This window comes from Homo sapiens, chromosome 6, assembly GCF_000001405.40.
Source record: "Homo sapiens chromosome 6, GRCh38.p14 Primary Assembly".
NCBI classification, from domain to species: domain Eukaryota; kingdom Metazoa; phylum Chordata; class Mammalia; order Primates; family Hominidae; genus Homo; species Homo sapiens.
In genome coordinates, this window is record NC_000006.12 from 63939177 (window position 1) to 63956963 (window position 17787).

Genomic DNA, 17787 nt, shown 5'->3' on the forward strand with positions numbered 1-17787 from the left:
AAATGAAATATTTCAAAAGCCTTTTCAAGCTCAGTATCTCTAAAATTACTCTTTCAAAGTTACACTTTAAGGGGTACTAGAGGATTGAGATTAAGAGGGATACCAAGTTTGTAAAATTTTCATAGGCATGATAAAGACGCAGGAAAGTCCCCACCCATCCCCAATAATTTCTTTAGTGTTTTAGATAAAACAAACAAAGAAATACCAGTTGGAAAGGATGGCACTGTTAACGGGGTTGGGAAAGTGTTTCAAAATTCAGTTTTGACAAAAGAAAGAGTAAGACAAAAATTGCTTTCTTTCTGGGTTTAGGAGTTTTACAAAGTGAATTTTAATGAGAAATATTTTTATAAGGTTTGTTTTCCATAATTAATGTCATTGAATATAAAAATATAGCAGACCCTTGAGCAACAAGGGTTTTAACTACATGGGTTCACTTATATATGGATTTTCTTCAATAAATATATTGAAATATGTTTTGAAGTTTGTGACAGTTTGAAAAAACTCACAAACCATATAGCCCAGAAATATTGAAAAAAAACTAAGGAAAAGATATGTCATAAATGCATAATACATATGTAGATACATCTATTTTATTATCTATTACCAGAAAATATACACAAATCTATTATAAATATTGAAATTTATCAAAAGTTATGCTCACACTTAAAGACTGTACATGGTGCTATTAATAGTTGGGAGAAATGTAAACAAATGTAAAGATGCAGTATTAAATTATAACTGCATTAAATTAACAGAACATACTGTACTACTGTAATAATTCTGTAGCCACCTCTTGTGGCTATTGAGGTGAGCTCAAGTGTTTTGGGTATCTACTTAAAATGCGATGTGACCTAACCATTGCTGCATGAGCAGTTCATCTCTCCAGTAAATTGCATATTGCAGTAAAAACTGATCTCCTGTGGTTCTTGCATATTTCTCATCTTGTTTAGTGCATCTTGAATAATGTTATGGGACCCATATGAAGTGCCACTAGTGATGCTGGAAGTGTTCCCAAGAAGCAGAGAAAAGTCATGACATTACAAGAAAAAGTCTAATTGCTTGCTATGTACCATAGATTGAAATCTGTAGTTGTGGTTGCTGCTATTTCAAGATAAATGAACACAACATAAAACCATTGTTAAAAAAAAAAAGAAAAGGAAATTTGTGAAGCTGTTGCTGCAGCTAGGCCAGCGGGTGTAAAAACTTTGTACTTTCTGCAAAATACCTTTTAATCTTATATTGAAAATTCAGCTTTTATGTGGATATAGGATTGCTATGATTTGAGAAATTTATTCATTATATGACAACTTAAAGCAAAAGGAAGGTGATGGATCTAAAGCTGGAGAATTTAATGCCAGCAAAGGATGGTTTGTTGATTTTAGAATGTAGTATGGCTTAAAAAACATCAGGATAACAGGAGGAGTAGCTTCTTCTGATGAGTTCGCAGATGCCATTAAGAAAATCATTGAGGAGAAAGGATATCTGCCTGAATACGTTTTTTTTTCCTCTTTTTTTTTTTAATCATACTTTAACTTCTAGGGTACATGTGTACAATGTGCAGGTTTGTTACATATGTATAAATGTGCCATGTTGGTGTGCTACACCCATTAACTCATCATTTACATTAGGTATTTTTCTTAATACTATCCCTCCCCCCTCCCCCTCTGCCACAACAGGCCCCGGTGTGTGATGTTCCCCACCCTGTGTCCAAGTGTTCTCATTGTTCAGTTCCCACCTATGAGTGAGAACATGCAGTGTTTGGTTTTCTGTCCTTGCGATAGTTTGCTCAGAATGATGATTTCCAGCTTCATCCATTTCCCTGCAAAGGACATGAACTCACCCTTTTTTATGGCTGTATAGTATTCCATGGTGTATATGAGCCACATTTTCTTAATCCAGACTATCACTGATGGACATTTGGGTTGGTTCCAAGTCTTTGCTATTGTGAATAGTGCCGCAATAAACATACGTGCACATGTGTCTTTATAGCAGCGTGATTTATAATCCTTTGGGTATATACCCAGTAATGGGATGGCTGGGTCAAATGGTATTTCTAGTTCTAGATCCCTGAGGAATCACCACACTGACTTCCACAATGGTTGAGCTAGTTTACAGTCCCACCAACAGTGTAAAAGTATTCCTATTTCTCCACATCCTCTCCAGCACCTGTTGTTTCCTGACTTTTTAATGATCAGCATTCTAATTGGTGTGAGATGGTATCTCATTATGGTTTTGATTTGCATTTCTCTGATGGCCAGTGATGATGAGCATTTTTTCATGTGTCTGTTGGCTGCATAAATGTCTTCTTTTGAGAAGTGTCTGTTCATATCCTTCGTCCACTTTTTGATGGGGTTGTTTGATTTTTTCTTGTAAATTTGTTTAAGTTCTTTGTAGATTCTGGATATTAGCCCCTGAATAGGTTTTTAATTCAGATAAGTGCCCTATTCTGGAAAAAAATGCCACAAAGGACACTTATTAGTAAGGAATAGAAGCAAGCACTAGGATTTCAGGCAGAAAGGGATAAGCTAATGCTACTGTTTGTGCAAATGCAGTTGTGTTTATGATCGGGACTCCCCTTACCTATACAGCTGCTAAGCTCCCTTACCTATACAGCTGCTAAGCTACTAGGCTAAAAGGGAAAAGATCAACACTAGCTGCCAGTCTTTCGGTTGTGCAACAGGAAAGCCTGGACAATGAGAACACTTGTTCTGAATTGGTTCCATTAATGCTTTGTCACTGAAGTCAGGAAGTACCATACATGTAAGGAACTGTTTTTTAAAGTTCTTTTGATTTTGAACAATGCCGTTAGCCACCCAGAGTACAATGAGTTAAACACTAAAGGTGTTGCAGTAGTCTACTTGTATTGAAGTAGTCTACATAGTTTTTAGGAAAACATGATGTCTCTAATTCAGCCTCTAGATCAGGGGGTTATAAGGATCTTTAAGGCTGATTACACACAGCACTCTATAGACAGGATTGTCAACAATGAGGAAGATAATCCCAGTAGAGAGAATAACATAAAAGTCTGGATGCATTAGACCACTAAAAAATGTCATCATTGTTATAGAGAAAGCTGTGAAGGCCATTAAACCTAAAACAACAAATTCCTGCTGGAAACAACTGTGTCCAGATAGGCATGACTTCACAAGATTTATGACAAAGCCAATCAAGGAAGTCATAAAAGAGATTATGGATATGGCAAAAAAGGCAGCAGGAGAAGGTTTCAATATAGGATCTTGGAGAAATTCAACAGCTTAGTAGACATCTCTATTAAGGTGTCTCTAATTAATAGAAAATTAATGGAAGACAACTTGGTGGAGATGTGTGCTTCCAATCAGTGGCAGACGATGAGGAAGAACAGGTAGAAGAAGCAGTGCCAGAAAACAAATCGACATTAAACAATCTGGTAGAAGGGTTCTGATTACTCAAGACTGCTTTTGAATTCTTTTAGGACATGGGCCCTTCCATGATATGGACATTGAAACTAAAGCAAACAGTGGAAGAATAATTGGTACCATATAGAAACATTTTTAGAGAAATAAAAAAAACATCAGACAGAAATTATGACATATTTCTGTAAAGTTAAACTGAATGTGTCTGTCTCTCCTGCCTCCCCTTCTGTCTCTTCTACCTCTTCCGCCTCTGCTATCCCTGAGACAGCAACACTCTTCTTCCTCTTCCTCCTCCTCAGCCTACTCAATGTGAAGACAAGGAGGATGAAGGCCTTGATTCTGATCACTTTCACTTAATGGATAGTAAATACATTTTCTTATGATTTTCTTACTAGTGTTTTCTTTTCTCTAGCTTTATTGTAAGAATACAGTATATAATGTATATAACATATCAAATATGTGTTAACTGTTTATGTTATTGGTGTGGTTTCTGGTCAACAGTAAGCTATTAGTAGTTACGCTTCTGAGAAGTCAAGAATCATGTGGATTTTTGACTGCATGGGGGTTGGCACCCCTAACTCCTGTGTTGTTCAGGTGTCAACTGTAGAACCAAAAGTCTGGATGTATTTATTATTTGAACCATACAACAAAAACAATAGAAAGACAAGACTCTCCAAATAAAAATTATTTTCAGGAGAAAGGGTATCAAACTCAGAGTTAACTTACTTAGGTGGCTACTAATGGTCTTATCCATACATTTGGTACTTGATTATTTAATCACAGAGTTGGTTGGTTTGATTTTTATAATGTGCAAAAATGCCTAGTGAGGTAGTTTACATTAAAGTTTACAGACTCAGAAAATATTTTGCCTAGCTTGATTCTGCATGAAAATATGAAGATATTCATGAAGATATATATTTATGTGTATAAACCTAAACATTACAAAAATGAATTAAAGCAAGAATTTTTCTTGATAAGAAGATATGTGCAAATTATTGGTTTTGAATAATTTAATTTCAAAGTTCAAATTTAATTAAAACTACACACTAGACCAAAAACGGTGTTTAGTTTTAAATACATAGATTTAAGGCAATTCAAACTTGTACTGTTCCTATTTTGGTAGAGTGCTTTTCCCTGCTAGTTACCAGAGAGGCATTGCCCTTGTTTCTCTGTAGCATTTCTCCAGATAGATAGTAACTTGACAAAATTACTATTCTCTCCATGGATGGACTATGCACATTGCTTTTGCTTACCTAGTTTCCTTTGTTTGTGCAGCTACCAACCCAGGCTGACCAAACAGATATACCTGTTAATAATAATATTCAATAAGAGGTTTTCCTAACATTTGATAAGTGGATGCAGGAAGAAAGGCTTTTTCTTTGTCCTGGATCACATGCTGTGAAGACCATCTAGTTGGAATGCCAACAGCCTTCTTTTCTAGCTGCTGGGACAAAAAGCCAGAGAGAAAAGCAGAATAAAGACAGAGAGATGCAGAGCGCAGGACCTGACCCTGCCTGAAGCCTTAGACTTTCTAATAAGAGACAATGACTCTTTTTTCTGTTGTAAGCTAGTTTGTGTTGGGTTTCTGTCCCTCACAGCCAAAATAATCCTGGCTAATTCAACAAATAAGCAATAGAAAAAGCTGAAAGGGAAACAATTTACAGCAAAATATAAGGCAGTGCATCTAGCTCTTAGCCACATATGGCAAAAATGAGCTTTTTATGTGTTTTCAGATATATAATAAATGAGAAAAATAAGAATTTTTGCCTTAATGTATCTCAAACATAGAGACTGTTAGTACATTTTACGAAAGTGTACGACATGCTTTAGTCTGCCAGTTAATTTTAAAAATTGCATTTCTTTAAATTTCTAAATTAAAAACATTATTTAAAAAATTGACAGATAATTGTATTTTCATGTACAACATGATGTTTCAAAGTCTATATACACTGTGAAATGACTAAATCTAGTTAACACATGCATTACCTAACACAGTTATCATTTTTGTGGTGAGAACACTTTACATCTACTCTTAGCATTTTTCAAGATTACAATAATGACTTTAGGAGAACTATACTGGCCAGGAGTGGTGGCTCATGCCTGTAATCCTAGCACTTTGGGAGGCTGAGGTGGGTGGATCACTTGAGGTCAGTTTGAGACCAGCCTGGCCAACGTGGCAAAACCCCGTCTCTACTAAAAAAATAAAAATAAAAAAAATAGCCAGGCATGGTGGCACACACCTGTAATTCCAGCTACTAGGGAGGCTGAGGAAGGAGAATCACTTGAACCCTGGAGGTGGAGGTTGCAGTGAGCCAAGATCGTGTCACCGCACTCCAGCCTGTGTGATGGGAGCAAGACTCTATCTCAAAAAAAATAAAAAATAAGAATAAAAGAAGTATATTTACACATCAAAACCTTGATCACTTTAGTAAAAAAAAATATTGTCAATGACATATATTTGGTTATACGGAAGTAAATCACTGTTTTGATAAATTATTTAATGACAATATGATTTAGCCATTATATTAGTACTTTCTCACACTGCTCTGAAGGAATACCCGAGACTGGGTAATTTAAGAAGGAAAGAGGTTTAATTGACTCACAGTTCAGCATGGCTGGGGAGGCCTCAAAAAACTTACATTCACGGTGGAAGGGGAACACATCCTTCTCCACATGGCGGCAGGAAGGAGAAGAATGAGAAACCAGAGAAGCAGGAAGGCCCTTATAAAACCATCAGATCTTGTGAGAACTATCACGAGAATAGCATGGGGGAAACTGCCCCCATGATCCAATTACCTCCCGCCGGTCCCCTCCCACAACACGTGGAGATTATGGGAACTACCATTCAAGATGAGAATTGGGTGGTGACACAGCCAAACCATATCAGCCATATATACAGGTAGGTTTAGGTAAAGATTAAAGGTTTAGGGAGGTTAATGGCAAAATATTCAGAGTAATTCATCTGACCTTAAACGATCCTCCACACCCTCACCACACATATGCAAAAGTACATGCAAATATACTTAATTATTGCACATTACAAAGCAACTATTACTGAGTTAAGTGCAAATTTATAGTCAATAAATCCAGGGAAATGAAATTGTATGATGAAATTTGTATGTAATTGAACAGGCAGAGTAAGAAATCCTTATATCTCAGTCTGTTTACATGCCAGATTGATTTGATTCTTTTGCTTGTTAGCTCTGTTTCATCAAAGTATTTACCTGATCTAATTTCTTGAATTAACACATCAAATAAGGTGAACTGGTTTATGAGTAAACACCACCTCAATAACTCACACTATCATATCAGATCACTCTCTAATGGCTTCACAAGTATTTGTCCCAACTGCCCTTTCCTTATTCCTTTTCCTGAACCTACGAATAAAACCTGAATGCTTTGACTTTGAGTTCACTGCTCTATTTAGAGTTCAGGGTTCTCTTCATGATTACTGCCACTAAACGCTATAAATGTAGAATTCCACAGTTAGAAGGGACTCTAAAATGCCTATTTCACTTACTAATTCTACAAATGAAAACTCAAGCTCAGGGCTCTGACGTACCCATCCAAGGTTTCAAGTGGCAGAGCTGGTCCTGGACACACATCCCAGAGGCCCAGCCCAATGCTTGTATTGGGAAGGCATTATGCAGATGCTGTGCACACAACTTAGGACTTTTCACTGTATTCATTTGGTTTTATGCAAGTTTTTATGTCTCAGCATAACATGATAAATCTGTGCTAAATGTTCAAATTATCTGAATGATCATATTCAATAATTATAAAGTTAATATTGAAGAAAAATAGTTCTTTATAGAGTTTTATTTCTGTTAAGTATTAAGAGCATTTTATATGTATTAACTCATACAAATGATTCTTAGATTTTTTTAGTAGAAAGTCATACTAATCATTCTTTCTGGTAATCCTATTCACTTTTCATTAAGTTCTCTTTTATATAGGAGGTCTTACGCTACATTTTACATTTTGTGTAGCTTGTTTGCTTTTAAGTTGACAGATCAAGTAAGGTGTACTGGTTTACAAAATTGGTTTACACAAGGTGTAACTGTGTTACATCTCAGTTACATAGTAAACAGAGTAAAATATATTAAATTGAATAAAGTTTTGTATGAAATCCTGAATATAGTCTGGTTTTATGAACTATTTTTTTTTTTTTTTTTTGGCTACATGAAAGAGTTAGAAGGAAGTCTCTGTTTTGCAGAATAAAATATCTTTTTAGAAACTTTGAAGCACCAGATCTTTAAGGATTCTGGATAAAAATGTCTGTGATGAAAAGATAGATGCTTGGGGTGATGAATATCCCATTTACCCTGATGTGATTATTACTGATGGTATGTATGTATCAAAATATCTCATATACCCCATAAATATATACACCTATGTACCCATAAAAATTAAAAATAAAAAAATTTAAAAGATATCTGTGGTGGAATACCAAATATGCCTCAAAGGTAGTATTTTATTAAAATCATGAAATATTCATGATTTTGGAAATTCTTATTTTGTAAAGTGAGGGTGATGGTGGTTAACAACATACTTTTTAAGAAAAGTATATTGAGTTTGAACAAAATGTTATAATAACATTTGTATATTTTGGTAGCTGAGAGTTTGCCTGTAGAGTGAATGTGCTTAAATCCCAGTTCTTAAATTTTCTAGTTTGTGTGACCTTGGCAAAAAGCATTCAGTCTTTTTGTATCTCAGTTTTTTCATCTAAAAATATGAAGATAATAAGCAGTTTTTATCTCAGAGTTGTTGGGACAATTAAACACATGCATTAAAAAGTACTAAGAAATAATAAATTAGTGATTTTTATTAAAAATAGAAAATTATTTTATATTATTACTCCTTAAAAATGATAAATAATTACTGCTATTAGCCTACATTTTGCTGGATTTTGATTGAATTATTTGAAGGAGAAGAAATACTCTTTATAGAAAAAAGATCTGTAATTTACCTACTATTAGGAATTTACATATATAATTGGTTTGTGAATCCCGCCCCAACAGTTTCTGAGATTTGCTAGATGTTATTCGAAGCACTAAGCTCTTGCCTTTTCTCATTATTATAATCAACTATTTCCTGTATGCCAGCAAAGTCAGTGGTAAAGATGTTAAATGTTTACAGCAAGCAGGAATATTGTCCTAATCGCATAATAAGCAATTAGAAAAAAAATGCCCCCTGACAGAAAGCAATCATTGGTTATGCCTTATGTTGAGCTCTTCTGTTTCATGATTGATTAAATGGTTCTTTTCTATTAAATTATTGTTGTGAAAACAGAGCTGTTTCATACTGAAGGTCATGACATAACGTTATTCATTATTTAGGCCAATATAGCAAGGTTTTTAGTAATAAGTCTTAGGAAGAAAGTTCATTTGAAAGTGCTTTCGTTGCTCACATTACATTCTGCTGAGGTTTTATTAAGATGGAGCATTAAACACAATACTAATGACTCATGAGTAAAAATATAGTGAACTAAATGATGCAAAAACACCTCAACTATTTGAAGAAAACATGTTAAACACACATGCACATCTCAAAGACAAAGAAAATGAAAAGATCTTGCTTTTATATTGTATTAGAGCTTCTAGGCTTCTCCTTTCATTATTAATCATACTTGGCTGCACAGAACACTTGCGATCTGTCCTTTCTTTGTAGAAGCTGCCATTGTGTGAAGATGGATATGCCTTTTTTCTCCCTCTTCTCCCACAAGATGAATTCTCAATCTCAATTGCTTTCTCATAGCATGTGCACTTATCTTTGCCTTTTGTGCACTGGAGGAGAACATGCTTCTCCATTTCTTTGTCTCTCAGAAATATGAGACAAGTGCCTTTTGCTCTATCATGTAGCTGCTCTTTACAATGTCAGCTGCACTGATGCCTGCCTCCAGTAGCAGGCTGGTGACAAACACCACAAGGGTGTATCTCCCCAACAAGATGCTGATCAGACAGCTTGAAAGAAAGCAATGCCCTGTTTTTCCATTTTAGGGGACAAACATTTTTCTCTCTCTCCCTGATTTCCTTTCTCCTTCCTTTCTCTCTTTCTTTCTTTCTCTCTCCTTCTCCTGAACCAATTTTTTTTTCTAAAAAATACTAATATTTGAATCAACCTTTCAGTCAAGAGTATTCTATTAACTTGGTTCCAAACCAGGGACAAAAGTGCAGAATGTTCAGGTAATGAGGTTTAGGTTCTTTACTGGCTTAAAGAGGCAATGGGCATTCTGTATCTGGGCATTTAAGTATTGTTCCATAATTATTTACATACTGTATATATAATATGTAATACATATAATATGTGCTATATATACAGTGTGCTATATATATGTTCTCATCTATATATTATCTTCTACTTTGTGTCATGTGTTTATCTTCCCTATGTCTTATTATTTCTGTATTTTCAGAATTGTTCAGTTACTACAGTGTACTACCTATAATATTTTGAGATTTTTTAATATACAAAAATGAGCATTTTAAATTATACTTTTAGTGAAGATTCCATATAGCTCAAAGACTAACAGAAAATGAAATTGACACAAAATTAAAGACTCATCAATGGACACTTCAAAATCAGACACAGGTAGACATAGTTCTGTTAGAAGAAAAGATAAGGGTAGTGAAGTGTCTATGCTTTACATATTCTGTTATTCCCCACTCCCTTTGGCATAAATTTTAAACTCATTAGTCCAGCCCCAGATGCCTTGCCCATCTCAACACTTACACTATCCTACAAGTGTCCTGTGTTCTAGCCATACTAATCTCCTTGGAATTTCTTAAATTTTCTAGGTTATCTTCCTGCCATACTTTTGTACATGCAGTTCCTCTCTTTGCCTGGGTAGCTTTCTTATATATAAATATTCAATTCAGTGGTCCCTTTCTCTGGGAAGATATTCTCAATTTCAGTTCTCAGGACTGGGTTAGGTGCCTCCTAAAGCTCATATCTTAGACATATTCTTTTCATTGCCCTTTTTATTCACTCATTTATTCATTCATTCAATAAATATATATTGTGTGCATAATAGATGCCATTTGTATAACTGTCTGCTGATATGCCTCTCATCCACTAGACTATGACCTCCTTGAGTTAAGAGACACACAGTTATTCTCATTCTTCTGGGAATTATGTTCTATAAAGTGGCATAAATAATAAACTAACAAATATGGAACTATTACTCCTAAAATAACAAGTTGGATTCCTAAGAACCTTTGGTCACAACACTGTCACCAACCAAAATGTCATTTGCCTTAGGTAGGTTCATTTGTCAATGTCCTTATAAAACAAACCAGTCTCATCAGCATTAAAAATCTGCTTTTTGGCCAGGCGCGGTGTCTCACGCCTGTAATCCCAGCACTTTGGGAGGCCAAGGCAGGTGGATCACGAGGTCAGGAGTTCCAGACCAGCCTGGCCAAGATGGTGAAACCTCATCTCTACTAAAAATACAAAAAATTAGCCGGGCGTGGTGGCAGGCACCTGTAATACCAGCTACTCGGGAGGCTGAGGCAGAGAATTGCTTGAACCCGGGAGGTGGAGGTTGCAGTGAGCCAAGATCACACCACTGCACTCCAGCATTGGCAACAGAATGAGACTCCGTCTCAAAAAACAAAAACAAAACAAAACAAAAAAAAAAAACAAAAAAAACAAAACCTGCTTGTCAGGCTTCTGGGCCCAAGCCTGCACACAGATGTCCAGATGGCTTGAAGTATCTGAAGAATCACAAAAGAAGTGAAAATGTCCGGTTCCTGCCTTAACTGATGACATTACCTTGTGAAATTCCTTCTCCTGGCTCAGAAGCTCCCCCACTGAGCATGTTGTGACCCCCGCCCCTGCCTGCCAGAGAACAACCCCCTTTGACTATAATTTTCTATTACCTACCCAAATCCTATAAAACAGCCCCACCCCTATCTCCCTTCTCTGACTCTCTTTTCAGACTCAGCCCACCTGCACCCAGGTGATTAAAAAGCTTTATTGCTCACACAAAGCCTGTTTGGTGGTCTCTTCACATGGACGCGCGTGACATTTGGTGCCCTGACTTGGATCAGGGGACCTCCCTTGGGAGATCAATCCCCTGTCCTCCTGCTCTTTGCTCCGTGAGAAAGATCCACCTACGACCTCTGGTCCTCAGACCAACCAGCCCAAGGAACATCTCACCAATTTTTAATCAGGTAAGTGATCTCTTTTTACTCTCTTCTCCAACCTCTCTATCCCTCAACCTCTTTCTCCTTTCAATCTTGGTGCCACCCTTCAATCTCTCCCTTCTTTTAATTTCAGTTCCTTTCCTTTTCTGGTAGAGACAGAGGAGATGTGTTTTATCCGTGAACCCAAAACTCCGGCGCCTGTCACATACTTGGGAAGACAGTCTTCCCTTAGTGTTTAATCACTGCGGGGATGCCTGCTTGATTATTCACCGACATTTCAGAGGTGTCTGATCACCACGGGGATGCCTGCCTTGATCCTTCACCCTTAGTGTCAAGCACCACTTTCCTAGGGGGCAAGCACCCCTCACCCCTTCTCTCCGTGTCTCTACCCTCTCTTTTGTCTGAGCTTGCCTCCTTCACTATAGGCAACCTTCCACCCACCATTCCTCCTTCTTCTCCCTTAGCCTGTGTTTTCAAGAACTTAAAAGCTCTTCAACTCACACCTGACCTAAAACCTAAATGCCTTACTTTCTTCTGCAATGCCACTTGACCCCAATATAAACTCGACAATTTTTCCAAATATCCAAAAAACGTCACTTTCGATTTCTCCATCCTACAAGATCTAGGTAATTCTTGTTGTAAAATGGACAAATGGTCTGAGGTGCCTGATGTCCAGGCATTCTTTTACACATCGAACCCTCCCTAGTCTCTGTTCCCAATGTGACTTGTCCCAAATCCTCCTCCTTTCCCTCCCACCTGTCCCCTCAGTCTGAACCCCAAGCATCACTGAGTCTTTTCAATCTTCCTTTTCTACCGACCCATCTGACTTCTCCCCTCATCCCTAGACTGATCCTCCTCAGGTCACTCCCCACCAGGCTGAATCAGGCTCCAATTCTTCCTCAGCTTCTGCTCCTCTACCCTATAATCCTTTTATCTCCTCCCCTCCTCACACCTGGTCTGGCTTACAGTTTTGTTCCACGACTAGCCCTTCCCTACCTGCCCAACAATTTCATCTTAAAGAGGTGGCTGGAGCTAAAGGTATACTCAAGGTTAATGCTTTTTTTCTTTATCCAACCTCTCCCAAATCAGTTAGCATTTAGACTCTTTTTCACCAAAAATAAAAACCCAGCCCATTTCATGGCTTGTTTGGTAGCAACCCTGAGATGCTTTACAGCCCTAGACTCTGAAAGGTCAGAAGGCCATTTTATTCTCAATATGCATTTTATTACCCAATCTGCTCCCGACATTAAATAAAGCTCCAAAAATTAGATTCCAGCCCTCAAACCCCACAAAAGTACTCAACTAACCTCACCTTCAAGGTGTACAATAACAGAGAAGAGTTGCAATTACTTTCCTCCTCTGTGAGGCAAAACCCAGCCGCACCTCCAGCACACAAGAACTTCAAAATGCCTAAGCCACAGCGGTTAAGCATTCCTACAGGACCTCCTCCATCAGGATCTTGCTTCAAGTGCCAGAAATCTGGCCACTGGGCCAAGGAATGCCCACAGCCCAGGATTCCTCCTAAGCCATGTCCTATCTGTGTGGGATCTCACTGGAAATCGGACTATCCAACTCACCCGGCAGCCACTCCCAGAGCCCCTGGAACTCTGGCCCAAGGCCTTCTCGGCTTAGCAACTGAAGACTGATGCTGCCCAATTGCCTCAGAAGCCTCCTGGACCATCACAGATGCTTTGGGTAATTCTTACAGTGGAGGGTAAGTCGGTCCCCTTCTTAATCAATATGGAGGCTACCAACTCCACATTACCTTTTTTTCAAGGGCCTGTTACACTTGCCTCCATAACTGTTGTAGGTATTGATGGCCAGGCTTCTAAACCTCTTAAAACTCCCCAACTCTGGTGCCAACTTGGACAACATTCTTTTATGCACTCCTTTTTAGTTATCCCCACCTGCCCAGCTCCCTTATTAGGTTGAGACATTTTAACTAAATTATCTGCTTCCCTGACTATTCCTAGGCTACAGCCACACCTCATTGCTGCCCTTTTCCCCAGTTCAAAGCCTCCTTCACATCCTCCCCTTGTATCTCCCCACCTTAATCCCACAAGTATGGGACACCTCTACTCCTCCTTGGGGACTGATCATGCAACCTTACCATCCCATTAAAACCTAATCACACTTATCTTGCTCAACGCCAATATCCCATCCCACAGCATGCTTTAAAAGGATTAAAGCCCATTATCACTCACCTGTTACAGCATGGCCTTTTACAGCCTATAAACTCTCCTGACAATTCTCCCATTTTACCTGTCCAAAAACTGGACAAGTCTTACAGGTTAGTTCAGGATCTGTGCCTTATCAACCAAATTGTTTGGCCTATCCACCCTGTGGTGCCCAACCCATACACTATTTTGTCCTCAATACCTTCCTCCACAACTCACTATTCTGTTCTTGACATTAAAGATGGTTTTTTCACTATTCCCCTGCACCCCTCATCCCAGCCTGTTTTTGCTTTTACCTGGACTGACCCTGACACCCATTAGTCCCAGCAGCTTACCTGGGCTGTACTGCCGCAAGGCTTCAGGGACAGTCCTCATTACTTCAGTAAAGCCCTTTCTCATGATTTACTTTCTTTCCATCCATCTGCTTCTCACCTAATTAAATATTTTGACAACCTTCTACTTTATAGCCCCTCCTACAAATCTTCCCAACAGGACACCCTCCTGCTCCTCCAACATCTGTTCTCAGAAGGATATCGTGTATCCCCCTCCAAAGCCCAAATTTCTTCCTCATCTGTTACGTATCTTGGCATAATTCTTCATAAAAACAAATGTGCTCTCCCTGCTAATCATGTCTGGCTAAACTCCAAAACCCCAACCCTTTCTACAAAACAACAACTCCTTTCCTTCCTGGACATGGTTAGGTACTTCTGCCTTTAAATACATAGTTTTACCATCCTGGCTAAACCATTATATAAACTCACAAAAGAAAACCTAGCTGACCCCATAAATCCTAAATTCTTTCCCCACTCCCCTTTCCATTCCTTAAAAAGCCCTAAAAACTGCTCCCATACTAGCTCTCCCTAACTCATCTCAACTCTTTTCATTACACACAGCTGAAATACAGGGCTGTGCAATCAGAATTCTTACACAAGAGCTGGGACCATGCCCTGTAGCCTTTCTGTCCAAACAACTTGGCCTTACTGTTTTAGCGTAGCCCTCATGTCTGTGTGTGGTGGCTGCCACTGCCCTAATACTTTTAGAGGCCCTCAAAATCACAAACTATGCTCAACTGACTCTCTACAGTTTTCATAACTTCCAAAATCTGTTTTCTTCCTCACACCTGATGCATATACTTTCTGCTCCCTGGTTCATTTAGCCATACTCACTCTTTGTTGAGTCTCCCACAATTACCATTGTTCCTGGTCCAGACTTCAATCCAGCTTTCCACATTATTCTGGATACGACAACTGACCCCTGTGACTGTATATCTCTGATCCACCTGACATTCACTCCATTTCCCCATATTTCCTTCTTTCCTTTTCCTCACCCTGATCACATTTGGTTTATCAGTGGCAGTTCCACCAGGCCTAATCACCACTCACCAGCAAAGGCAGGCTATGCTATAGTATCTTCCACATCTATCATTGAGGCTACCATTTTGCCCCCCTCCACTACCTCTCAGCAAGCTGAACTCATTGCCTTAGCTCAGGCCCTCACTCTTGCAAAGGGACGAGGCATCAATATTTATACTGACTCTTAACATGCCTTCCATATCCTGCACCACCATGCTGTTATATGGGCAGAAAGAAATTTCCTCACTATGTAAGGGTCCCCCATCATTAATGCCTCTTTAATAAAAACTCTTCTCAAGGCCGCTTTACTTCCAAAGGAAGTGGGAGTCATTCACTGCAAGGGCCATCAAAAGGCATCAGATGCCATCATTCAGGGTAACGCTTATGCTGATAAGGTAGCTAAAAAAGCAGTTAGAGTTCCAACTTCTATTCCTCACGGCAGTTGTTCTTCTCATCAGTCACTCCTGCCTACTCCCCGCTGAAACTTCCACCTATCAATCTCTTCCCACAGAAAGCAAATGGTTCTTGGACCAAGGAAAATATCTCCTTCCCACCTCACAGGCCTATTCTATTCTGTTGTCATTTCATAACCTCTTCCATGTAGGTTACAATCCGCTAGCCCAACTCTTAGAACCTCTCATTTCCTTTCCATCACGGAAATCTGTCCTCAAGGAAATAACTTCTCAGTGTTCTGTCTGCTATTCTACTACTCCTCAGGGATTGTTCAGGCCCCCTCTCTTCCCTACACATCAAGCTTGGGGATTTGCCCCTGTGAAGGACTGGCAAATTGACTTTACTCACATGTCCTGAGTCAGAAAACTAAAATATCTCTTGGTCTGGGTAGACACTTTCACTGAATGAGTAGAGGCCTTTCCCACAGGGTCTGAGAAGGCCAGCACAGTCATTTCTTCCCTTCTGTCAAACATAATTCCTTAGTTTGGCCTTCCCACCTCTATACACTCCAATAACAGACCAGCCTTCATCCCTATCTTCTGTCTAATCATACTCTTATTCACCATTCTCAACTACTTGTAAATGCCCTGCCCTTGTTTACACTGCCGGTTTACACTTTTCCTCCAAACCACCATAACTGATATCTCCTGGTTTTACCTCAAACTGCCACCCATAAGTCTCTCTTAAAGTGGATTAAAGATCTTCAGTGGCAAGGTACACTTCAATACTTTCACCCTGATGAAGTCCTATTCTTTACTTTTATATTCACTCTTATTCTCGTTCCCATTCTTATGCCACCCTCTACCTCTCCCCAGCTATCTCCACTACACTATCAATCTCACTCGCTCTCTTCTAGCTGTTTCTAATCCTTCTTTAACAAACAATTGCTGGCTTTGCATTTCTCTTTCCTCCAAAATCACTGAGGCCTTGACTTACTGCTTAAAAAAAGAGGACTCTGTATTATGATGTTTAAATGAAGAGTTTTGTTTTTGCCTAAATCAATCTGGCCTGGTATATGACAACATAAAAAAAAACTCAAGGATACAGCCCAAAAAACTCACCAACCAAACAAGTAATTACGCTGAACCCCCTTGGGTGCTCTCTAATAGGATGTCCTGGGTCCTCCCAATTCTTAGTCCTTTAATACCTGTTTTTCTCCTTCCCTTATTTGGACTTTGTGTCTTCCATTTCATTTCTCAATTCATATAAAACCATATCCAGGTCATCACCAATCATTCTATATGACAAATGTTTCTTCTAACAACCCCACAATATCACCCCTTACCACAAAATCTTCCTTCAGCTTAATCTCTCCCACTCTAGGTTCCCACACCACCCCTAATCCAGCTCGAAGCAGCCTTGAGAAACATTGCCCATTATCTCTCCATACCACCCCCCACAATTTTCACTGCCCCAACACTTCAACACTATTTTATTTTTCTTATTAATATAAGAAGACAGGAATGTCAGGCCTCTGAGCCCAAGCCTGCATGTGTACATCCAGATGGCCTGAAGCCACTGAAGAATCACAAAAGAAGTGAAAATGCCTGGTTCCTGCCTTAACTGGTGACATTACCTTGTGAAATTCCTTCTCCTAGCTCAGAAGCTCCTCCACTGAGCACCTTGTGACCACCGCCCCTGCCTGCCAGAAACAACCCCCTTTGACTATAATTTCCATTACCAACCCAAATCCTGTAAAACGGCCCACCTCTATCTCCCTTCTCTGACTCTCTTTTTGGACTCAGCCCACCTGCACCCAGGTGATTAAAAAGCTTTATCGCTCACACAAAGCCTGTTTGGTGGTCTCTTCACATGGACGTGCATGACACTGCTTTTCCACATAAACTTTTTCCCATAGAACGTTTGGTGGGTATTTAAAGCATTATTTTCTATATGTATTTTATTTTTAATTGACAATTGGATGTCTTTATAAGACACAAGTGCAATGTGATGTTTTGATATACATACATACATTATGAAATTATTTAATCAAGCTAATTACCATATTCATCTTCCATAGCCTCCTTATCTGCAAAACTTGCCTTGTCTGCAAGTTTAACACGTATTTCCCACACATACTGCCTTTTGAAATGTGCAAGTTAGCCAGCACTTGCCAAAAAAGTTTAAAATTTTCCCGCCCCTGGATAGTGTGACTAAAATTTTTTTTTGGCTTTTAGCCTTACAACAGTGGTCTCCAATACACCTTTTAAATATTGGTTATCATCTCATGAAACTACAAATTTAACCACTTTTCCACTTTTACTATAGC

General features: G+C 38.8%; 1 protein-coding gene and 1 long non-coding RNA gene across 4 annotated transcripts in view; one reads left to right on the forward strand and one right to left on the reverse strand.

Moving 5' to 3' along the window:
* Window positions 1-17787, reverse strand: part of EYS (eyes shut homolog) — a 1987247-nt gene that overhangs the window by 219197 nt on the left and 1750263 nt on the right. The gene's annotated exons all lie outside the window — the stretch shown is intronic.
* Window positions 11329-17787, forward strand: part of LOC107986608 (uncharacterized) — a 94049-nt gene continuing 87590 nt past the window's right edge. The window contains exon 1 of one of the 2 annotated variants that reach the window (XR_007059629.1): window positions 11329-11563. This is a non-coding gene — a long non-coding RNA (uncharacterized LOC107986608). The remainder of the gene's footprint in view (window positions 11564-17787) is intronic. The other variant, XR_001744190.1, reaches the window with a different exon arrangement.